General features: G+C 53.3%; 2 long non-coding RNA genes across 4 annotated transcripts, besides 7 other annotated features; one reads left to right on the top strand and one right to left on the bottom strand.

The window, feature by feature from the left end:
- Positions 1–7714: 7714 nt before the first annotated feature.
- Positions 7715–10049, bottom strand: LOC124905126 (uncharacterized). The gene is made up of 2 exons (XR_007068114.1): positions 9837–10049; positions 7715–8079 (listed from the first exon to the last, which is right to left on the bottom strand). It is a non-coding gene; the product is annotated as an uncharacterized LOC124905126 (long non-coding RNA).
- Positions 10004–10298: an enhancer, noted in NCBI's record as "tiled region #6115; HepG2 Activating DNase unmatched - State 4:PromP, and K562 Activating DNase unmatched - State 4:PromP". NCBI's record gives its function as "activates a minimal TATA promoter and a strong SV40 promoter by Sharpr-MPRA in HepG2 and K562 cells {active_cell/tissue: HepG2 | K562}" and the evidence as "EXISTENCE:reporter gene assay evidence [ECO:0000049][PMID:27701403]".
- Positions 10137–10296: a silencer, noted in NCBI's record as "silent region_13824". NCBI's record gives its function as "represses an Ori minimal core promoter by ATAC-STARR-seq in GM12878 lymphoblastoid cells {active_cell/tissue: GM12878}" and the evidence as "EXISTENCE:reporter gene assay evidence [ECO:0000049][PMID:35858748]".
- LINC01315 (long intergenic non-protein coding RNA 1315) lies at positions 10333–15141 on the top strand. Of its 3 annotated transcripts, none has more exons than NR_120597.1 (2): positions 10333–10483; positions 14816–15141. It is a non-coding gene; the product is annotated as a long intergenic non-protein coding RNA 1315 (long non-coding RNA). The 3 variants fall into 3 exon arrangements; NR_120596.1 differs by having other exon boundaries at positions 10333–10826; NR_120595.1 differs by having other exon boundaries at positions 10333–10826; positions 14397–15141.
- Positions 10667–10786: an enhancer, noted in NCBI's record as "active region_19161". NCBI's record gives its function as "activates an Ori minimal core promoter by ATAC-STARR-seq in GM12878 lymphoblastoid cells {active_cell/tissue: GM12878}" and the evidence as "EXISTENCE:reporter gene assay evidence [ECO:0000049][PMID:35858748]".
- Positions 11079–12013: an enhancer, noted in NCBI's record as "H3K27ac-H3K4me1 hESC enhancer chr22:42763534-42764468 (GRCh37/hg19 assembly coordinates)". NCBI's record gives its function as "activates a minimal SCP1, AML or CMV promoter by ChIP-STARR-seq in naive H9 embryonic stem cells {active_cell/tissue: H9 hESC(naive)}" and the evidence as "EXISTENCE:reporter gene assay evidence [ECO:0000049][PMID:30033119]".
- Positions 13398–14240: an enhancer, noted in NCBI's record as "NANOG-H3K27ac-H3K4me1 hESC enhancer chr22:42761307-42762149 (GRCh37/hg19 assembly coordinates)". NCBI's record gives its function as "activates a minimal SCP1, AML or CMV promoter by ChIP-STARR-seq in naive H9 embryonic stem cells {active_cell/tissue: H9 hESC(naive)}" and the evidence as "EXISTENCE:reporter gene assay evidence [ECO:0000049][PMID:30033119]".
- Positions 15751–16404: an enhancer, noted in NCBI's record as "H3K4me1 hESC enhancer chr22:42759143-42759796 (GRCh37/hg19 assembly coordinates)". NCBI's record gives its function as "activates a minimal SCP1, AML or CMV promoter by ChIP-STARR-seq in primed H9 embryonic stem cells {active_cell/tissue: H9 hESC(primed)}" and the evidence as "EXISTENCE:reporter gene assay evidence [ECO:0000049][PMID:30033119]".
- Positions 22737–22816: an enhancer, noted in NCBI's record as "active region_19160". NCBI's record gives its function as "activates an Ori minimal core promoter by ATAC-STARR-seq in GM12878 lymphoblastoid cells {active_cell/tissue: GM12878}" and the evidence as "EXISTENCE:reporter gene assay evidence [ECO:0000049][PMID:35858748]".

Raw genomic sequence — 23256 nt, 5'->3', positions numbered from 1 at the left:
ATCCAATTTCTCAGAAGTGTGTGTGTGTGTGTGTGTGTGTGTGTGTGTGTGTGAAGTTGGGGGGGTCCTCCTGCCTCCCGGTATTCTATCTCTTTGGGGAAATGGAGGCAGATCCATAGAGCCCCAGGGGTTGGGCCTCCCCAGCAGCCCACGCCCACTGTGAGGCCTGGATCCTGGCAGCCTGTATGCTCTGATCCCAAGTCTACCCTGGAAATTCCCAGGCACAGCATGCCTGGAGGTGTGAGCCGCCTCTTAGAAGCTTTATAATCCCGGATAATGCTGCTGTAATTGGCATTGTTTTTCCATTACAATCCTTTCATTACCTGAAAACTGACTTTGCAAATGGCTATATCTGGAGTGGGTTTTATTTTACCACTTTGAGGACCTTGAGGGGCCGAGGAGTGGGGGCATTTTCTCTGTCTCTCCCTTGACTGCCCCATCCCCATCCCCCAGTGAGTTCCACAGGCCCAAGTGGGCCAGATCCTGGCCTTGGCTCAGGACATAGCCCTGTACCTTGCTGCCCGCCATGGGCTGATCCAGGGATGTCTCTTCTCCCCAGATGCCCCTTCTGTCCCCCTGCCATCAAGTCCACCCATAAGAGCCTCCCTCCAACCCCTCCTCCTCCCAGCCATTCCCAGTCCAAACAAGTCTCACCTGATCTTTCTATAATACATATCTGACCACATGATTCCTCTCTCAAAAGCCTGCCATACCTTATGGTAATGGTCAATTCATTCCAACAAGGGGGCCACCATCATTCAATGGGGAACAGTCTTTTCAACAATTGGTGCTGGGAGAGCCAAACCTCTACATGACCCCTACCTCACACCCTATACCAAAACTCACAGTGGTTTCCACTGTCCATAGGATCGGGGCTCAACCCCTTAGTCTCACATTCAGGGCTCTTACCACTCCTACCACTCCTTCACTTTTTTTTTTCTTTTCTTCTTTCTTTCTTTCTTTTTTTTTTTTTGAGATGGAGTCTCTCTGTGAGGCCCAGGCTGGAGTGCAGTGGTGTGATCTGGGCACACTGCAATCTCCACCTCCTGGGTTCAAGCAATTCTTCTGCCCCAGCCTCCCGAGTAGCTGGGACTACAGGCACGTGCCACCAGGCCCAGCTAATTTTTTTTGTATTTTTAGTGGAGATGGGGTTTCACCATATTGGCCAGGCTGGTCTCAAACTCCTGACTTCAAGAAATCCACCTACCTCGGCCTCCCAAAATGCTGGGATTACAGGTGTGAGCCACTATGCTTGGCTTTTTTTTTTTTTTTTTTTTTTTTTTTTTTTTGAGACAGGGTTTCCCTCCTATCACCCAGGCTGGAGTGCTGTGGTGCAATCTTGGCTCACTGCAACCTCTGTCTCCCAGGTTCAAGCAATTCTCCTGCCTCAGCTTCCCAAGTAGCTGGGATCACAGATGAGTGCCACCACGCCTGGCTAATTTTTTGTATTTTTAGTAGAGACAGGGTTTCACCACGTTGGCCAGGATGGTCTCAAACTCCTGACCTCAAGTGATCCGCCTGCCTCAGCCTCCCAAATTGCTGGGATTACAGGTGTGAGCCACCACACCTGGCCATCCTTCATTCTTTTAACAACATTTGTCCCGCTCCAACTATGTGTCAAGCCCAGTGCTGTGGCTGGAATAAGAAATGGACAGTCCTGTCTTCATGGAGTCCACCAGCTCATTTCTGATTGGCTCCTACTGGCCCAAAGTCACCCCAGCTCCATTCATGCTTCCATCTATGGCTGCTGTTCCCCAAGATGCTGAGCTCCCCACCTCTGAGTCTGGGCTCCTACCATTCTCCCTGCCCTGAGGACCTGCACCCTATTCTTTGCCTGAGGAATTCCTGCTCAAATGCTACCTCCAGCTGGGCACAGTGGCTCACGCCTACAATCCCACCACTTTGGGAGGCCAAGGCAGGCAGATCACCTCACGTCAGGAGTCGGAGACCAGCCTAGCCAACATGGCAAAACCCCATCTCTACTAAAAATACAAAAATTAGCCGGGTGTGGTGGCACATACCACAGATATCAGCCACAGAGTAAAACTCCATCTCAAAAAAAAAAAAAAATGCTACCTCCACTGTGAAGTCTTCCTTAAAGCCCCCTCCCACACCAAGCAGTTTACTGAATCCTCTCATTTCTTTGACCTCTTCAAACTGAATCAGTTCACACACATCCATCTCCCCCCAGAATTCCCGTGTTTCCCAAGCATGGCAAACACCTCATTTGTCTCTCTTTGTCTGTGCCTGACTCACAGTAGGGGCTTAGGAGCTGTTTGTTCAAAAAATAAAGGAGTCTTTTCCTTTGCTGTTGATTCAACACCTGTTCTTAGTGAAAAAGGGATAATTTTTTTTTTTATTTCCAGGAAGTGATCTTTAATTAGTATATGACCCATTTTACATATGTGAAAATTGAGGCAGACTGTTGCTGCACCCACAACACCAGGAGAAGCAAGGCAATAAGAAGTGCAGGCTCTGGAAGGCCGGCAGCCTCCGCCTAATGGGGAGGGCGGGGAGGCTCTGTGCTGAGCTGTTGGAGGCGAGGCCAGGCACAGGGGAAAGGCCGACATCCCCCTCCCCCACCTCCTTTCAATTCCTGGCTGCCAAGGCTGTCAAGAGGCTCTGAGGACACGTGCCTGCGTCAGGGGCCATGAGCCCTGTTAGGGTGGTTCTGCTAATTGATCCCAGAAGCCCTTGTGACTGCCAGGGGATGCCTCAGCGGACTCAGCAATGTCCTGACCGCTACCTCTCGCCTCACCAGATGGCCTCCCTCCTGCCTCAGCTGCCTCTAGGCCAGGCCACATGTCCCTGATCATTCAGGGCCTGAGACTCCCCCAAGTAGCCAGCAGAACAGAGCCCGGCCAGGGGTGGTGGCGGGGGTGTGTGGGGAGCACTGGAGAAGCTCCTTTTTTTCTGTGTCTCTCTGGCTGATTGGATGGTTTTCCAAAAAGAAAAATTTTAATGTGTTTTCGGTTTGGTTTTTTTTTTTTTTTTTTTTTTTTGAGACAGGGTCTCACTCTGTCATCCAGGCTGGAGTGCAGTGGTGCGATCACAGCTCACTGCAGCCTCAACCTCTGTGCTCCAGCGGTCCTCTACCTCAGCCTCCGGAGTAGCTGGCACTACAGGTGCGCACCATCACACCTGGCTAATTTTTTGTATTTTTCATAGAGACCGGGTTTTGCCGTGTTGCCCAGGCTGGTCTCAAACTCCTGAGCTCAAGCGATCCTGCCACCTTGGCCTCCCAAATGCTGGGATTACCGGCATAAGCCATTGCTGCTTAGCCAGCACTCAGCCTCAAATGCCCCCACAACTTCCTCCAGCAGCCCCACAATCTCCTGCCCCTTATGGGTGGGGAACCCTGGCATGTCATGTGACGGGGGTGGAGTCAGGAGAGCTGCTGTCCTTCCTGACCCATTGGGACAAGTCTGTGCAGCTGAGTCCCAGGGATAAGGGTAGGACCCACAGCCAAGTGACCAGTTCCAGAAATAGAGATGGTCATTGTGGTGCTCAAGGCACCCCTGCCTTCTTCCTGGGTTCAAGCCTGGAGCTCAAGATTGGAGTTCAAGGTTGCAGAGAGCTTTAGAACTGCTAATGGGGGCCAGGCGCAGTGGCCCACGCCTGGCCAACATGGGTGAAACCCTATCGCAACTAAAAATACAAAAATTATCCAGACAGCCGGGCACGGTGGCTCACGCCTGTAATCCTAGCACTTTGGGAGGCCAAGGCAGGTGGATCATCGAGGTCAGGAGTTCGAGACCAGCCTGGCCAACATGGTGAAACCATATCTCTACTAAAAATATAAAAATTAGCTGGGCGTGATGGTGGGCGCCTATAATCCCAGCTACTCAGGAGGCTGAGGCAGGAGAATTGCTTGAACCCAGGAGACTGAGGTTGCAGTGAGCCGACAGGGTGCCACTGCCCTCCAGCCTGGGCGACAGAGTGAGACTCTGTCTCAAAAAAAAAAAAAAAAAAAAAGAACTGCTGGCCGGGCACGGTGGCTCACACCTGTAATCAGCACTTTGGGAGGCCAAGGTGGGCGGATCATGAGGTCAGGAGATCGAGACCATCCTGGCTAACACGGTGAAACCCCACCTCTACTAAAAATACAAAAAATTAGCCGGGCGTGGTGACGGGTCCGTGTAGTTCCAGCTACTTGGGAGGCTGAGGCAGGAGAGTGGCGTGAACCCGGGAGACAGAGCTTGCAGTGAGCCGAGATAGCGCCATTGCACTCCAGCCTGGGCGACAGAGCAAGACTCTGTCTCAAAAAAAAAAAAAAAAAAAAGAACTGCTAATGGGTATGGGGATTTTTTATGAGGTAATGGAAATGTTCTGGAATGCGACAGCAGTGATGGTTACGCAACCTCTTGAATATGCTAAAATCCATTGAATTGTACACTTTAAAAGGGTAAATTTATAATATGTGAATTGCATTTCAATAACACAAAACAAAAATAAACCAAAAAAAATTGCCCTACTTAAACACTTTCTGTTGTCCCCTGTTCATTACCCTTAGGACAGAGCACACACACACTTCCCTGGGACGTGGTTCAGCTTCTTCCTCCACCCAGCCTGCCCTGCCCGTACCCTTTCCTGCCCTTCCTCCTTTCCTCCTACAGAAGGGCCCTGCTGGGGCCTCTTTCAAGGTCCAGGCTCTGGCGCATGAAACTCCCTCTACCTGTCAGATGGTTAAATGCCTATTCAGTTTTTATCTGTGGCAATAAGTAGGCATTGATCTCATTTCACAGATGAGGAAACTGAGCCTTAAAAAGATATAACAACTCGCCCAAAGTCACCTAGCTGGCAGATGGTGCAGTTGAGATTCAGGCCCCAGCAGTGGCTTCAGAATCCATGATCTGAACCACTTTGGTTGGTGGCTTTCTGTGGTAGCCTGAAGAATCCCACCCTCGCCAAGATATCCACATCCTAATCCTGGAACCTGTGAATGTTACCTTATATGACAAAGGCGCCGCAGATGTGATTAAGGATCTGGAGATGAGGAGGTTATCCTGGATCATTACAATCACAAACGCCCTTATAAAGGGGGATGCAGAGGGAGATTACAGACCAAAGGCAGAAGGTGGTGTGATGATGGAAGCAGAGAAAGAGGTCTGAAGATGGTACGCCGCTGGTTTTGAACATGGAAGAAGAGGCCACAGCCGGGGAACAGAGCCCCAGAAGCAGGAGAGGGCAAGGAAACGGATACTCCTCAAAGCTTCTGGAGGGAACGTGGCCCTGTGAACACCCTGGTTTCTGCCTGTTGAAACTGATTCTGAATTTCCGGTCTTGAGAACTGTAAGAAAATAAATGTGTGTCGTGTTGTGGGTTTTTAAAAAATAATTTTTTTCTTTCTTTTTTCTCCCGGCTTTTCAATAGGGATAACGTGTGTTGTTTTAAGTCACCAGGTTTGTGGTGATTAGTTACAGCAGCCATAGAAAATGAAGACACTGGCCAGGCTCACGCCTGTAATCCCAGCACTTTGGGAGGCTGAGGGCAGGTGGATCACCTGAAGTCAGGAGTTTGAGACCAGCCTGGCCAACATGGCGAAACCTGTCTCTACTAAAAATAGAAAAATTAGCTGGGTGTAGTGGTGCATGCCTGTAGTCCCAGTACTCAGGAGGCTGAGGCAGGAGAATCGCTTGAACCTGGGAGATGGCGGTTGCAATGAGCCAAGATTGCGCCATTGCACTCCAGCCTGGGCGACAGAGCAAGACTCCGTCTCAAGGAAAAAAAAAGAAAAGAAAATGAAGACACTTTCCCTCCTAGAAGAGCCTATTCTGCCTCCCAGGCTGGGCCCCTCTCTGAGAGGCTCTTCTGCCCCGAGGTCAGTGGCCCACCCTGTTTTGTGCTCCTTGGGGATGCTTCCTATGACCTCTGACCCTGGAGCTTGCCTCGGTCATGACCTCCATGCTCACCCTGACCTTGGGCCTCTTCTACGGCTCCCAGCACTGACTTCACCAGGCTGGAGTCATCTTCCAGTTGTTCAGGGGCAGGCACCAGCTCTGGGGCAGTGTGGAAGAGGAAAGTGAGGCTTGGAGGGGGGCACTGAATGCTCAAGATCACTCAGCTGGCAAGAGGCAGAGCCGCTGAATGTGTGGCCATGAGATGACCAGGGCACCCAAGCCGAAGGGCTCGTGAGGAAAGAGGCCACACTGGCTGCCCACTGCCCCTAGGTTCCAATCCCGGCACCCATCTGGGCCCACATAGAATTGGACCATTCCTGGTGGGCTTGGCTTTAGGAAAACCTGATAGCAAATTCCAAACCAATAAGAGCAAATAAATGAGGGGTGATTACCGACAATAAGAGAGGATACACTGCAGGGTGCCTCCAAATCGCATCTCCTCCAGTACGTTTTAAGTGCTTTATAGGTCATTAACTACTTGACAGAGAGAGCCTGACACTTAAAGCAAAGAATTTGGTACCTCTGCCAGGGAAAATCAATCAGAAATGAAGCTAGAGCATCAGAGGCGTTAAGATTTACTGGGTAGGCCAACGGGATTCAATTGACGCAGAATTTTAAGACCCTCTCCACTGTGTAAAGTAAGGCACACTGGTATTTGAAGCCATTTATAAATCCCAAACTAGAATTTAGAAACACTTAACCTCTCCCCTGCCATTTTTGTGTGTGTGTGGATGTTAATGAAATATTTCGAAGACATGGAAAAGTACAGAGATAAGCTTAAGCATCTAAGTCCCCCATCTGACTCTGTCAAATGAAATATTGCAGCTATGTGCAGCTATGATTGAAGCACCCACTATTTTTTTTTTTTTTTTTTTTGAGATGGAGTCTCTGTCTGTCGCCTGGGCTGGAGTGCAATGGTGCAATCTTGGCTCACTGCAACCGCAGCCTCCCAGGTTCAAGCGATTCTCTTGCCTCAGCCTCTCAAGTAGCTGGGACTACAGGTGCGTGCCACCATACCCAGCTAATTTTTGTATTTTTAGTAGAGACAGGGTTTCACCATGTTGGCCAGGCTGGTCTCGAACTCCTGAGCTCAGGTGATCCACCCACATCGGCCTCCCAGAGCGCTGGGATTACAGGTGTGAGCCACTGTGCGCAGCCAACAGGTGCACCTCTAGAAAGAGGGTGCTTCGGATGGGCACAGTGGCTCATGCCTGTGGTCCCAGCACTTTGGGAGGCTGAGGAGGGAGGATCACCTGAGGTCAGGAGCTCGAGACCAGCCTGGCCAACATAGTGAAACCCTGTCTCTACTAAAAATACAAAAATGAGCTGGGTGTGGTGGTGCATGCCTGTAGTCTCAGCTACTAGGGAGGCTGAGGCAGGAGAATTGCTTGAACCCAGGAGGCGGAGGTTGCAGTGAGCGGAGATCGTGCCACTGCACTCCAGCCTGGCAGCAGAGTGAGACTCTGTCTAAAAAAAAAAAAATTGGTGGGGCATGGGGGCATGCACCTGTAGTCCCAGCTACTTGGGAGGCTGAAGCAGGAGAATCACTTGAACCTGGGAGGTGGAGGTTGCAGTGGACCAACATTGCACTACTGCACTCTAGCCTGAGAGACAGAGCGAGACTCCGTTTCAAAAAAAAAAAAAAAGTGCACCTGTTTTTTCTTCCTGGCTTTTCAAATCCTTTCTGTCTTCTGGCTCTGCCTTGTCAGGGAGACCTAAGCTGACCACCCACCCCTGCCCAAGACATCACTCCTTCCTCTGAAATCAGAGTGCAATTACTGCCTCTTTAATTAGCTTGGCAATTAATCACCAGCTGCTTATGAAACAGCTTTTATTGTCCTTGTCCATCTTGGGATGTGGGTGGGAATGAGGACCAGGCAGGAAGAGGGAGGAGGGGCAGGCAGGCAGGGCCCTGCTCTGGCACCAGGCTGGGCAGGGTCAGCTGAAAAGGCCTGATGTCCAGAGGGTCGGCTGCCTCCCAACTCTGTTTCCACAGCTGCTAGGCACCAGGATCTGTGTAGTCCCAAGAGAACAGTGGGCAGCGACAGGGACATCCACCTTGTGCAGCCCTGGGGCCTCTGCTCTCGATGTTCCCTACTAATCAAAATGTTCTTTCCTCATTGAGCCTTGTTGAACTGTGTCCCCCAGAAAGATATATTGAAGTCCTGACCGCCGATACCTGTGAATGCAACCTGATTAGGAAATAGGGTCTTTGCAAATGTAATCTTCTTAAGATGAGGTCATACCGGATTAGGATGGGGCCTAAATCTAATGACTGATGTCCCTATAAGAAGGCCATGTGAAGACAGATGCAGGGAGCACTCATTCACCACACCACCAAGCCAGCTCCTCCTCTTCATGCCTCAATCTGGCTGCCTATGGGAGACAGGCTCTCAGCATTTTTCTAGTTGATTAACCCTTCTCTGCCCAACTCCGGGAGAAGCTTCTACACCTTCCTTTGTCAGAGGAAGCCCTCTCCCCCATCCCATCTCATACATCATCTCTCAATCAAAAGGACCTACTTGGGGGGGCATCCCAAGGACCCCCTCTCCATCAGAGAACAGCAGCCGGGAAGTCAGTCTGCTTCACGGTGCTCCCCATGACTTCCACAGGAAAATCCACCCCAAATGCCCCAAACTGTCAGAGTGGGCAATGCAGCATGGTTTGAGCAGAGTGCTTCCAACTTCCCCTGTGATGGGGGTGCAGAGGGGGGTTCAGGGGATGGATTCCCAGGAAGGGAAAGAGCCCAGCAGGTTACCAGGAATTTAACATGGAAGCAGAGGCTGTGTCATTCATACTGCCAAGCACAGTGCTGGGTATAGCATGTTCAAGCATGTTCATTTAAATGACACTTTTTTTTTTTGAGACAGAGTTTCGCTCTTATCACCCAGGCTGGAGTGCCAGTGGCATGACCTCAGCTCACTACAACCTCTGCCTCCTGGGTTCAAGTGATTCTCCTGCCCCAGCCTCCCGAGTAGCTGGGATTACAGGTGCCCACCAGCATGCTCAGCTAATTTTTGTATTTTTTAGTAGAGATGGGGTTTCATGATGTTGGCCAGGCTGGTCTCGAACTCCTGACCTCAGGTGATCCACCCACCTCGGCTTCCCAAAGTGCTGGGATTACAGGCGTGAGCCACTGTGCCCGGCCGAAGTAAGTTTTTTTGTTTTTGTTTTTGTTTTGTTTTGAGATGGAGTCTCACTCTGTCACCCAGGCTGGAATGCAGTGGTGCCATCTCGGCTTACTGCAAGCTCCGCCTCCCGGGTTCACGCCATTCTCTTGCCTCAGCTTCCCGAGTAGCTAGCTGGGACTACAGGTGCCCACCACCACGCCAGGCTAATTTTTTGTATTTTTAGTAGAGACGGGTTTTTTTTTTTTTCTGTCACCCAGGCTGGAGTGCAAGTGGTACAATCATAACACTGCAGCTTCCAACTCCTGGGCTCAAGTGATCCTCCCACCTCAGCCTCCCAAGTAGCTGGGAGTACAGGTGCACACCACCATGCCCAGAAAACTTCTTAATTTTTTTTTTGTAGAGACGGGGTTTCGCCATGTTGCCCAGGCTGGTTTCGAACTCCTGGGCGCAAGCGCTTCTCCCACCCTGGCCTCCCAAAGTGCTAGAATTATAGGCGTGAGCCACAGGACCTGGCAGTAATAACCCATCTTCTAACCTATCTTGTGCTCTAACACAACACTCTTGATAGACGGGAAACTGAGCTCTGACACTGCACAGGGCATCACTGTGTAGAGGATCCGAGATCCAGTAATGTAAGCATGTCCCAGCATCAGCTCAGCCATTCATCCCCACGTGACCGAATTTCGCTGCACCTCGGTTTCCTCATCCTCGGGAGAGAATAGTAATATCTCCTAGGGATGTTGCCAACATTAAAGATAGCTCTAAACACCTGTATGCATATTTTCCACGAATTCATTCAACTAACCGTTTTGAGCACGTACTGTGTGCTAGGCCCTGGGGAGACAGTGGTGAGCAGCACGAACCCCATGTCCCTATCTCCAGGTGCTGTTTGGTAGAGAAGGACAAGGAAATGCAGGTAGCGTTATGATAGGGACCACGGAAGCAGAGAGGAAAAGGCCGCAGAGTTCAGGAAGGTCCGAAAGAGCAGCGGCCACCGCCGGAGCGAAAAGGCAAAGAATGAAATCCACAAACCCCCACCCCTACGGCCTTAGTCCCTTCTTTGTCTCAGCCAATCAGACGTCAGCAGTGCTGGCCGACCGACCAATCAAGAGCTGGAACAGGAGCCCTAGTCTCAGGCCCGGTTTCCGCGGGGAGGGCGGCCGGAACCAGCGCGCCCCGCCCCTGCCCCGACCACGCCCCGCCCGCCCCGGTCCGGCCCCTCCCCAGACCACGCCCCGCTGCAGCCAGCTTCGCCCGCCCAGAGCCCCGTGGCCAGCGGCCGGCCGCGGGGCCTTTTTGTCCTGAGGGCCAGAGAAAGGGAGAAGGGGGTGGGGGGACAGCCACGTGGCCGCAGGAGGATTTACAACATTTTCTTTCGCCATCGATGTTATCGCAAAATGTGTGAGAGAAGCGGCTGCGCAGCCCGGACGGGAGCGTGAGGGTGCGGGCCAGGTAAGCAGCCCCGGCGGTTTCGCCGCATACGGGACTGCGGGGCGACCGCGGGCACCAGCCACGCGCAGCGGCTCCGCGGGGTCTCGGCCGGGTCCGCGCTCTGAAGGATCTCGAGAGCCATGGATGGTGCAGGCGGGACCCTCGAGCTGCAGCATCTCCGGTGACCCGGGGTTGCCGAGGAGGTGGAGACCAGCACAGGTGGTCCGGCCCGGGCGCCTCCGAATCCGGGGGTGGTCAAGACGGATCCCCAAGGCTGAGGTCGGCAGTCCCGGGGACTCGCAGCTGTTGAGCCTGTGGAGACGCGGCCCCGTGACCGAGGCACCCTTCAGCAACCCGGGGGCAGGTGAGACCGTGTAGACTTGCGCTTGCGGTTGAACCGCGAGCAGGTGTAGACGCGGGCGGGTTCTGGACGCGGAAAGTTTGCCAGAGCGCGCTGAGCGGGCTGGCGGGGAGGAAGGGTCTGGGCGTAGGCGGAGCCGCGCCTCCGAGGGGCCAGGCGCACATCTGGGGCGGGGACGGGACCCACCTGTCGGGTCTCAGCCGCATCCCAGGGCGGAAGCTCCTTGGGCGAACTCCAAACTCCAGCCTCAGCGGCTGGAATTCGGGTGCCCCCCTTCCTCGGGAGCTGGAGAAACTGCAGCTGAGGCGGGAGAGGGATTTGGGGCGACAGAGCGAGACCAAAGGGGGCTCATTTTGAGACTTTTAGACGGGATCATCAAGCGCTCACTCTGTCCCTGGCTCCGGGGAAGCCTGGGGAGTCTCCACCTCACTTGTGAGGAAGCTGAGGGACGAAGAGGCCAATTTGGCACCCGTCCCACGCTCGTAATCAGACCCAGGGACTCAAACCCCATTTGTCCTGGCTCCTCTTCTTCCACCTCCGCCTCAGTGAGGAGAAAGGGTGCTAGCCATGGGGGTAGTGCAGGTGAGACCTGGGGCTGGGATGCAGGGAAGCCCTGGATTGAGACCTTCGGATCTGCTGGGGGTGGATCCCACTCCCTCTCTGTAGCTCCAGGTGGCCCCGCAGCACTGGGTGAGAGAATGAACGCAGGAGGGAAGCTGGTGGCAGAGTACTGGGCAGGGGGTGCTAGTGCCCACCTGCTTTGTGTCCGGGGTGCTGTGCCTGGAGCGCTTCGGGTGGGGCAGCGTATTTATGCGACACTCTCTCCTCTAGGGTAAGAAAGACACCCTACCACAGTCTCTGCCACAGGGGAAGGGCAGAAGGGTTTCCCTTGGCTGGAGGAGATACCCGCATTTCTAGGGAGGTTCTTAGGGAGGCACAGCCTCATCTCCCATCACCTTCTGTCCCTTTGCCCCCGTTCCTACTCCCACATCCTCCTGTCCTGGGATTTCCCCTACTACAAAGCCTTTTGCACATGTTGTTTATTCTTTTGATCAGCAAATAGTTACAAATAGGCAGTGTAGACCACCACAGGTGGTCCGGCACACCTACTAAGTGCCGGGCATGCGCAATTCAGCAGTGACTAAGACAGGCCCGGCCTCTGCCCTCATAGGGCTTCCAGACCAGGGCAGGGATATAGATGAACAACAGACAGTCAAGAAGGGGACCAGGGTATGGGGAGGGGAGGCGACCTTAGGAGGATATCAGAGAGGGACTCTGCAAGGATGACAGTGAGTCAGAGCAATTAACACTCCTCATCCTTTGGGCCCCAGCACAAATGTCACCTCCTCCAGGAAGCCTGCCCTGACCTCCCTGACTTGATGATTCCACTATGATGGACTCTCATAGCATGGGACCACCCCCTCCATGGACACTTTTATGCCATTAATTGGTCAATGTTTAGCTCCCCCTGTCGATTGTAAGTGCCATGAGGGCAGGACCCAAATCTTTTCTGGGTGGATGGTAGGCAAAGCAAATAAAAGATGGGTAGGATTTCCCCAGAAAAACAGGAGTGGCTCAGCAAGGTCAGGCATCCAGATGGCAGAAACTTTTCTTTCCCCTTCCCTGGCCCGAGTCCTGGGCTCCACACCCCATTTGCCGTTCACAGAAACAAAGTAAAAGAAACCAGCAGGCCTTGTGAAGGGAGAGGCCTGGCACAGCCTGACCACTGCAGTGCCAAGGCTGGCTGGCTGCAGGGAGAGTGGACCTGCCAGGGGAGGCCCAGGGCAGGCGCTAGTCCTGTTCCCTGAGCTCAGACCGACCTGTCTCCTCTTTCTTCTGTCCCATCTCTTGGAGACTTGTCTTCTTCAAGTGCTGCTCTGGGAGAAGGTGGTGGCCGACAGGGCCCCCAGAGTAGCTGGGATATAGGACCACAGTGACTGCCTGGCCTCCCCCATCCTGGTGGGCAGGGCCCTGGGCAGCACAGCTCTGACCCAGAGTCAGGTCTCTGGGCCAGCAATTGCTGCTCAGTTGACCCACGGCACATTGAAACTCTCACTTGGAAATTAGGAACCCGGCTCAGGGGGACTGATTTTTTTTTTTTTTTTTTTTTTTTTGCATGGTTTCTATACACAGTGAATCCTCCCTCCCCTGGCTCCATTGGACCCGTGTGCCTGGCACTTTTCCTGGGGCAGATGAAGCCCTCGCAGATGCCTAACAAAGCTTTTCTCCAGTCTCCCACACCCCCCACTGCCCCACTTCAGGAGCTCTGAGTGGCCGCCACGCACAGCTAGAGAGACAGTCAACTTGCTTTATTCAGGCTCTGGCGGGGACAGAATAAAAGCAGCCTCCCCACCCACCCACCTGGCCAGCAAGCCTCCTGCCTGGAATGGCTTTAAAAAAATTAATTTGCAATGATTTGCTCCCTTCTGTTCTGTGGGGATCACCAGCATTTTAAATATGTATTTAGATCAGATTCACAACTCCCAGTTAAACCTCAACTGCCTGCCCCCACCCGGCAGAAAGAACACAGGATTCAGAATCAGGTGACTAGAAGTTCAGGCCAAGTTCTGCTAATGATGCGCTGTGTGGCCTTGGGCAAATTACTTAAGCTCTCTGTGCCTCCACTGGCTCCTCTGGAAACTGAGGTTAAGGATAACCCCTCCCTCACAGAGTGCTGCGAGGATTAAATTAGGTAAGTTTAGGGAAGACCTGGGCAGTGCCAGACCTATGTTTTCTTTTCCCTTGTACTGACTGTCCTGCTAATTAGCCTGGTGACCCTGGGCAGGCCACTCAGCCACCCCTGGCCTCAATGTCCTCATCTGTAAAGGCTGGGGGTGGGGATTGTGGTAGGAGATGAGGGCACAAATACCCCACCCTCAGCCCCTTCCGCACACCCACTTCCTCCTGCCCTCTCCCCACCAGAGACGATACTGTCCCCCTCAACCACTTCTTTCTTGTTATCTGAGCACTGGGTTTTAATTGGCGATGGCCCCTCCCCAGCTGCCTCTCCTCCCGGCTCCCTGTGAAGTCTCAGGCTTGCAGCCCTGAGGGGCCTGCAGTTCCTGGCTCATTGTCAGGGGCAATTAGCTGTGATGTCACAAGCCTAGGTGGTGACTTCCGTGGGGCAGATGCTTAGCCAGGCACCAGGAGGCCAGGACCCTGCTCCATCTGTGACCTGCGGGGCTCCCCCAGGCTCCAGGGGTCCCCATTACCAGTCGCAGGGAGGCAGGGCTCCTAGGCAAAGCCATTTCCATTTCTGCACTTGATGGCTCCTTGAAGCCCAGCCTGCGTGTAAATGAGTTCCACCCTGTGCTTTTGTTGGCAACTGTCGGCTCCCTGGAAGCAAGGGGCTTTGTCAGGAAGAACAAAGCTGTGCGGTGTTTTTCTGATTTGGGGGAAAGCGTGCTCCTGGGGGAGGGCTCAGCGCTTCTCAGTGTCGGTCTCCAGCCCTGGTTCTCAGACTTGCTGGTTTTGTTTTGGGTTCTTAAGTCCTATGGCTTAAGAGTCACATATGTTTGTGTGTGTGTTGGCTGAGGGTTTTTTTTTTTTTTTCCTCCTTTTTGGCTTACATAGCGTTCCAGAGACTGAACTTCTCAAATCACTGCTTCAACAGCTTTTAAAAATCTGGACCTAGTTACTCCTGTCATCTATGTGTAAAGATTTAGAAAAAAAATCCCAAACCCAAGGGTGGGCAGCCGCGAGGATGTACAGCTCCTGGCAGTGTGCGCTCACCCGGAGACCTGAGGTCAAAGCCCAAATGCTGAGCACCTCCTGGGAGGCGGGAGCATGGTCTGCTCAGTGCCAGACATCTGGATATTGAGAAAACATCTGGGTAGCTGGGGTTTTCAGGTTTCTGCCTGACATTTAATATCACAAACATTGAGCCTGCTCCTGTCCCCCACCAGCCACGCGGCTTCTCCTCCCAAACATACCCAGCTCCTTCCCCTGCCTTCCTGACGGGTAAGAAACATCCATTCTTTCCAATTCCCCAGCGTTTTCCCCCTACCGGAAATCTGATGGGCTTATGACATCATGGCTGGCTGCTGAGCGATGAAGTGGATGCCACAAAGAAATCCGACATATCAGATAGATTCTGAAATCGGTTTCCCTCCAGCTGTAGTAACAGGCGTGAAGTCAGGAGAATTTGAGCTTTGTTTAAAAAATAAATAAATAAATAAATAAACCATAACAAAGTCTTGCCCTGTATTAAATGCAATTTTCTTAAAAACAAGCAAACCTTTTGGACATCATTTTATTTTAATAGAAATGCTGAGTTTTATGAAACTAAAGTGGCTAATAAATCAGACCTGAAGCTTTGTGTGAGTGTTCCATTTCTGTTGAGTGTTTGTGTCCTTATTCACTAATAAAAGAGGAGCTAGGAATGGTTTATCTCTCTTCATTATTCAAATGAGATAGCCTTTTTTTTTTTTTTAGGCCAATAAAATTCACAGGGTAAATTGCTGGTTTATGTTTTTCCAGGAATCCATTTTTATGGAGCGACCCTGGACCTCACCGGTCTGCAGACACTATATTCCCCTTTGCTGGTTTTCCTGGCTGTGAAGCCCTTAAGAGAATGCAGTAAAGCTTTTCAGTCTCCTGGCTGGGCTCAGGGGATAACTGGCTGTCAGCAGGGCGGGACCAAGACCAGTGGGCCAGGCGCTTCTTGGAATGAGAAGCCTCTTTGAAAGGAGAGAGTCAAGAGAGGAACAGAAGTAAAGGGACCTGGGGCTGGGCGCGGTGGCTCATGCCTATAGTCCCAGCAATTTGGGAGGCCAAGAGGGCAGATCACCTGAGGTCAGGAGTTCAAGACCAGCCTGGCCAACATGGCGAAACCCCATCTCTACTAAAAATACAAAAAATTAGCCAGGAGTGGTGGTGCACGCCTGTAACCCCAGCTACTTGGGAGGCTGAGATAGGAGAACTGCTTGAACACGGGAGGCAGAGGTTCCAGTGAGCCGAGATCGCGCCACTGCACTCCAGCCTGGGTGACAGAGCAAGACTCCATCTCAAAAAAAAAAAAAAAAAGAAGAAGAAGAAGAAGAAAAAGTAAAGGGACCTGGGACATGAAGCCTAGGGGCCTGGGAGGGGGAATCCATTTTCTTCCTCCTCAAAAGACAGCAAGGACCTCAGAAATAACTCCAGGCTGAGGGGGCCTCAGTATTCACCTCGGAAATAGGCTTGGGTGCAAGATTGCATGTGTCGTGCCTGCCAAGCACCCAGCACAGGGACGTCCCAGACCTGGGCTGAGGTCCCAGCTGCTCCAGAAGCAAACTTCGGGGCCCTGAGCAAGTCACACCACCTTTCAGCTTCTTTCCCTGAAAGTGGACACAATGGCCCCCACCCTGCCTGTTGGGAGAACAGTAGTGCTGGATGTGTCACACAATGCCCAGCTCTGAGGGCATCCGAGGCTCTGAGGGCACCTCAAAGGGCTCCGAGGCCATTCTCATAGCTGGGAGAGGCCAGTGTGGATTCTGGAGTTGAATCCCCAGCCTGGGCTTGACTCCTGGCTCTGTCCCCTGCTATCTGCAAGACGACATTGATCTGTGTGACATTCGCTGTGCCTTGGTGTCCTCACTTGTCAAACAATAATAATAATAGGACCGGCCTCACACATGAGGCTGCTGTGAGGATGAACGGCCTCAGAAGGCCTGGACTGACCAAGCATTAGCCGCATGAGTGTGTCCTGGGCCCAGGAGGCAGGTTGCTGGCTAGGACCCTCCGGCCTAGGATGGGAGGGAGTGTACCAAGTCGAGCACAGGCGGAGGCTAATCAAGGACTGACAGGAACATCTACTCCTTTCTCTGCAGAACTTCCCATGACTCCAATCGCCCAAAGGGAATAAAATCCCCTCGTTTTCTGGGCCCCAGGCTCCTGTCCCCCAGGCCTCCTGTGCTGTTCCCCTCTCCCTCCCTGTGCTCTGTCCCTCCTCCCAGGCAGCTTTGGATGCAATGCTAACAGGCAGGTGATGTTTACTGAGCACCTGCCATCATGTTGTTCGCCACAGTTTCCATGGATTAATTCATTTGATCCCCACACAAACCCATGAAAGGGGACAGTTAGCATTCCTGTCAGCAATGGAGACCTCAGAGGTTAAGTGTCTTGCTCACAGTCCCAGAGCCCAAATTGAAACCAGGGTTCGGCTCCTGCACCGTCCACTTCACCTCGGCTCCACTGGGCCTTCCTCCTCCACTTTCTCGCCTTCCCACAACACCCATCTCCACCTGCCAAGATTTCCACCACCTCGCCCAAGAGGTCTTCCCAGCTTCCCCTCCACAGTGCCACCCAAGAAATGCTGGTGGTGCCCCACGTGCCCCTCAGGGTGTGGCTCTCTATGATTGGCCCTGGGCCCCTTGTCTGCCTCTCCTGGAGGCTGGGAGCTGGGCTGTGGCCAGTAATGTGTCCCCTGCAGGCCCAATAAGCAGGCATTTACTGAGGACCTACTATGTGCAGGACATGGGGAGTCATACAGCAGGTGCCCACACCGCCTGGACTTCTCTCCCAAAACCTAGACCTATCCAGCCAACAGCTTGTGCCACCTCTCCACGTGGATGGCCAGTGGGCAGCTCTGCCTCAACTAGTCACAAACCTCTCACCTCCACTTTCCCTTCACTTGCTCAGGCCAAAAGCCTTGGGATTATTCCTGACCCTTAACTTCTCCTCTGTCTCTATCTCAGCACTCCACCCTTCCTTCCACCTCCACCGCACCACCGGCATTGCCTGCCTGGATGGCACAGCAGCCTCCTCGTGGGTCTCCCTGCCTCCTCTGCCCTCTGGAATTCATTCTTCACATAGTAGCAGAGTGGTCCTGTTAGAACTTCAGTCAGCTCCTGCATGCCTCTGCCCAGAGCTCTGCAATGACTCCCATGCATTCAGGGTCAGGGAGGGCCCTGTCAGTGGCCCCAGCTTGTTCCCTCTCAGACCTCAGCTCCTGCCCCCCAACTCGCTCCCAGATCTTGTTATTCCTCCAACGTGCTGTGTGTGGTCCTGCCCCAGGGCCTTTGCACGTGCTGCTCCCGCTCCCCAGTATACTCTTTCCTCTGATATTTCCATCACTCCCGCATTCACTTCCTCCAGTGCTCCGATCAGATGTTACCTGTGGCCGGGCACCGTGGCTCATGCCTGTAATCCCAGCATTTTGGGAGACGTGGGCAGGAGTATCGCTTGAGCCCAGAAGTTTCAGACCAGCCTGAGCAACATGGCGAGACCCCTTCTCTACAAAAAATAAAAATCAGCTGGGCGTGGTGGTGTGCGCTTATAGACCCAGCTACTCTGGAGGCTGAGGTAGCTGAGGTAGGAGGATCACTGGAGCCCCAGCCTAGGTGACAGAGCAAATACCCTGTCTCTAAAAAAAAAAAGACCAGGCACAGTGGCTCACACCTGTAATCCCAGCACTTTGAGAGGCTGAGGCGGGCAGATCACCTGAGGTCAGGAGGTCAGGAGTTCGAGACCAGCCTGGCCAATATTGTGAAACCCCATCTCTACTAAAAAAAGACAAATACAGAAATTGGCCGGGCAGAGTGGCACATGCCTGTAGTCCCAGCTACTCAGGAGGCTGAGGCAGAAGAATTGCTTGAACCTGGGAGGCGAAGGTTGCAGTGAGCCAAGATTGTGCCACTGCACTCCAGCCTGCCAACAGAGAGAGACTCCATCTCAAAAAAAAAAAAAAAAAAAATGACCTGCTCAGACAGACCTTCCCTTATGACCCTCCCCATCCTTTCCCCATGTTTTTTTTTTTTTTTTGAGACAGAGTCTCACTCTGTCGCCCAGGCTGGAGTGCAGTGGTGAGATCTCAGCTCACTGCAGCCTCCGCCTCCCGGATTCAAGTAATTCTCACGCCTCAGCCTCCTGAGTAGCTGGGATTACAGGCACCTGCCACCATGCCCAGCTAAGTTTTGTATTTTTTAGTAGAAACAGGGGATCACCTGAGGTCATGGTGAAACCATGTTTCACCGTGACTCCTGACCTCAGGTGATCTGCCTGCCTCAGCCAAAGTGCTGGGATTACAGGTGTGAGCCACCATGCCTGGCCCTTCCCCCAGTCTTTGCCCTCTAGCATCTATGCCACTGGCCCTTGGCTTGGACATGTGCATACGTGTCACTAGAATGTCACCTGAGTCAGAGCGGGCCCTGCCTGTTTTCCCACTGCTGTATCTCAGGTCTCCAACACAGGGCAGGTGCTCAATAAACATTTGCTGAATGAAACGATAGCTGGATGGGTGCCGTGCAGAGACGGCCAGTATCGAACACCTGGTCTGCGCCAGGATCTGTGTTGGGTGCTGAGGCAACATGTGTAAACAAGTGCCCTGAGAGCCCTCATCTGGGGAAGGAGAGAGACTCTGAGCTAGAAATCACAAAGTGGGTGGAGTGGGGGTGGCCTCCGGGAATGGGCTCAGAAGAGGAGGTGGTCTAGCCGATCAGAGGGAGCTCCCCCAAGGAGGGGCATCCCCAGGTGAGCTGAAGGGTGAAGAGGAATTGGATGGGGAGGCGGGTCGGGTGGACAGTGTGCTCTAGGGGCTAAGGACAGGGCTGGGAGGACAGCAAGAGTAGGGGCCTTAAAGGTCAGTAAGATCCAGCTGGGCAGAGAGAGGGCACCGTAACCCCAGATCGGGATTATGGAGTGGGCAAAGGCCCCGAGGTGGGGATGTGCTGGGCATGTGTGTGGGGATGGATTGGGGAAGGCTTAAGTGCCAGGAGGAGCAGCAGAGGCCTGGGGTGGAATCTTAGCTCTCATCCTCCAGCTGCGTGATCCTGCACACATCGCTCCCTCTCTCTGGGCCTCAGTTGCCCCATCAGTGTACTCCTGATCACGTACATGCTTCCCCGCTGCAGTGTCCTGCCTCACAAAGAGGGAGAGACTTAAGCCTGGAAGGCCCCAGGGGAAGAGAAGTCTGCCAGGAACAGCATGGTGAGCAGGGGAAACAGAATGTGCCAAGACGTGGGGTCCTTCTCCTGAGCTGCACTTCTCCAGTCCCTCCCTCAGTGCAGGGAGGACCATGATGGGGTGGCCTGGCTGTCCCCAGCGGGGCCCAGGCCTGGGGTGTGCTTGGCTCTGCACTTGAGGGGCCACTCTGCTTTGGGCCTCACATACTGTTGGACACCACAGCCCCGGGAGACAGGGCCTTCCTCCAAGCTGCAGACGCCAGGCTGAGAGCAGCGAGGTAACCAACAGCTACACCAAACACGTGGCTGGTAAATGGCAGACAAAGGACTTGAACCCAGCCCTGCCTGGCCCTGATTCCTGCTGTCCTTTAGCAAGACTGAGCCACATCCTCTGGGAGGGCCAGGTCTGGGAAGAGGCAGTAGAGTGCAGGTGAAATGCCTGCTCGCCACGGGCTCCCGAGCCGTGGTCCCCACTCCATCCCTCCCCTGGGCTGCCCTGATCACGGCCAATTCCTCCTTTGGGGAAGGTGAGTTGGGTCCCTGGAAGGCCCTCTGAGCCTCTCCTCTTGGCCGCAGCTTCTCTGAGGACTCGGGATGCTCCTGGAATATTCTAGGTTTATTAACACCCTAAAGCCTCACAACCATCCCTTGAGTAAGGGACCGTTGTAACCCTGTTTTACAGCTGGAGGAACTAAGGCTCAGAAAGGAGCTACCCAGGGGAGGCATACTGGCTTACTGGGGTGTCCTGCTGTGCTCAAGCTCTGAAGACTGTTTTGGGGACAGAGTGCTCAGCCCTAGGGTGGGAGTTTCAGGAGGCCAATTCAGTCTCCACTGAGAAGAGTTTTCTTTCACGCATGCCCAAAGGTGGGGTCTTGGCAGGAGTGATCTTCCCATCACTAGAATTCAAACAACCTCTGCGTGTGGGATGAGGGGAGATTAAGGTCAGAGGTGCTGTTGGACTAAGGAGTCCGGGTATCTTTGACCTATCCAAGCCTCAGTTTCCTTATCTGTGAAATGGGGATTTTTTTTTTCTTATTTTTTTTTAATTCTAATTTTTTTTTTTGAAACGGAGTCTCACTGTGTTCCCCAGGCTGGGGTGCAGTGGTGTGATCTCGGCTCACTGCAAACTCCACCTCCGGGGATCAAGTGATTCTCCTGCCTCAGTCTCCTGAGTAGCTGGGATTACAGGCGCCCACCACCATACCCACCTAATTTTTTTTGTTTTGTTTTGTTTGTTTGTTTTTTGAGACAAACTCTCACTCTGTCGCCCAGGCTGGAGGGCAGTGGCGCAATCTCAGCTCACTGCAACCTCTGCCTCACAGTTTCAAGCGACTCTCCTGCCTCAGCCTCCCAAGTAGCTAGGATTACAGGCACCCGCCACTGCACCCAGCTAATTTTTGTATTTTTAGTAGAGACGGGGTTTCACCATGTTCGCCAGGCTGGTCTCAAACTCCTGACCTCAATTGATCTGCCCACCTCGGCCTCCCAAAGTGCTGAGATTACAGGCGTGAGCCACCACGCCAGGCCAAAATGCGGATATTAATACCCATCTGTCAGAGGCTCTGTAAAGCACCCAGCCTCTTTCTGGCCCAAAGAGTGCCCAGTAAGTGCCATTGTCACCTCCTGGGCCTCTGAGTGTCCCCTCTAATAGTCAGGCTCTCAGAGCAGAGTGGGAAGGGGCCACCTCCAACAGCCCTGCCTAGGAAGAGCAGCCCCATGGACCACCACTGCCTCCTTGTGTGTGGAGGGTGGTGTCCAGGCTGAGGGTCAACCAGCCCCAGACACCTGCCTCCTCTGTCCGCTGGGCTGGGCCGTGGCCAGCTCCTTGAGTAACTGGGAGGGCTACAGTGAGTTACTGGAGAGCAGGGCTCTAGCCCCCACCGATACTGGCCCCAGGAGGGGCAGGGCTCACTCAGAAACCTTGCTGCTCTCATTGCAACACCACCTAGCTAAGCGCAGAGCCTCCCTGCCCTGCAGAGCCTGCTGGCTCCCTAGCTAGGAAACGGCACCATGCCAGGACAGAACGGGATCTGTCCCGAGGCTCCTGTCCGTTGGTATTTGCCAGGCACCTACTCTGTGCCAGGGACTTTCCTTAATCATTCTTCAGGTACAGTCTCATTCACAGGAGAGAAAGCCAAGGTTCAGGGAGTGGAAGCAACTTGGCCAGAGTGATATGAGGGCCAGGGGCTCTAACCCAGGGCTGTGGGACTCTGAAGTCAGTAAGTCATTCTCTATCTAAATCTTGCCATCCCCCAGGCAGGCCAGGGGAAGGAGCACTGGCTTTGGAGCCCTGGAGTGTGAGAGGTGGACCCCAGGCTGGGCAGGAAGACAGACCCAGGCACAGTCCTGAGTCTGCCCTCACATGTTGCCACATTCTGTTCCCCCTGCTCACCATGCTCTTCCTGGCAGACTCAACCCTCGGTCTCGCCAGGTGTGAGTCGCTCTCTCTCTCTGTGAGGCAGGGCACTGCATGGGGAAAGGCACATGTCTGGGAGTCCCATAGGCCTGTTTTCAAATCCTGCTCTGTCACCCACTACTGAGCCTAGAGCACAGGATAAAAAGGGGAACAGCATGCAAACAGGGAACAGCATAGGCAAAGGCCAGAGGATAAGAGGGCCTTCGAGAACCACAGCGGCGATGAGCGGAGCTAGGATCCAGGCAGGGGGGCGGACGTGGGTTGAGCTTCCTGTCCCCTGCTCTGGGCCTCTGTCCAGGCTGTCATCCCTGCCTGGCCCACCCTTCCTCTTCTCCTGTCCAAGCCTTCATGCCTCTAAGTCCCTGCTCACTAACGTCCCCTGTGAGTCCCTTCCTGAACTCCCCTTAAGCTTCTCCTTCCTCAGTGCTCCCACAGCCCCAAGTGCTACCTTGATTTGAGCAGTTAATGACCTGGGTTGTGCAGGTTTCTGTCCTGCATGAGTGTGGGAGTGAGATCTTTGTTTCAGATCCTGGCTCTGGACCTTGTCCACTGGATGACCCTGAACAAGTTCCTTCACCTCTCTGTTTCTTCATCAGCAAGATGATGGTAGCAGCCCCCAATGCGTAGTATTCTCTCGGGGATTCAATGACTTTGTGCTTATAAAGCGGCAAACCACACGGCCTCGGAAAGGCAGGCAGCTGGGACACACACATTCATGCATGTCGTTATTATAACTATAATGTGCGAGTCCCTTGAGGGCAAGGCCTCCTGTCTGGTTCCCAGCTCATAGTAAGGCTGGATCAGGGCTCAGGGAGCACTGAGTGATTCTAGAATGAAAGGACAGCCCATTCTAGCAACAAACTAAACAGTGATCATTTATTGAGTGTGCACTGCATCTTGTTTTGTTTTGTTTTGTTTTTTGAGTCGGAGTCTCGCTCTGTCGCCCAGGCTGGAGTGCAGTGGCGCAATTTCGGCTCACTGCAACCTCTGCCTCCCAAGTTCAAGCGATTCTCCTGCCTCAGCCTCCCGAGTAGCTGGGACTACAGCCACGTGCCACCATACCTGGCTAATTTTTGTATTTTTAGTAGAAACGGGGTTTCACCATGTTGGCCAGGCTGGTCTCGAACTCCTGACCTCA

This window comes from Homo sapiens, chromosome 22, assembly GCF_000001405.40.
Source record: "Homo sapiens chromosome 22, GRCh38.p14 Primary Assembly".
In the NCBI taxonomy this organism is placed as follows: Eukaryota; Metazoa; Chordata; class Mammalia; order Primates; family Hominidae; genus Homo; species Homo sapiens.
Note: the sequence above shows the minus strand (reverse complement) of the source record. Positions and strands in the feature narration are given on the sequence as shown.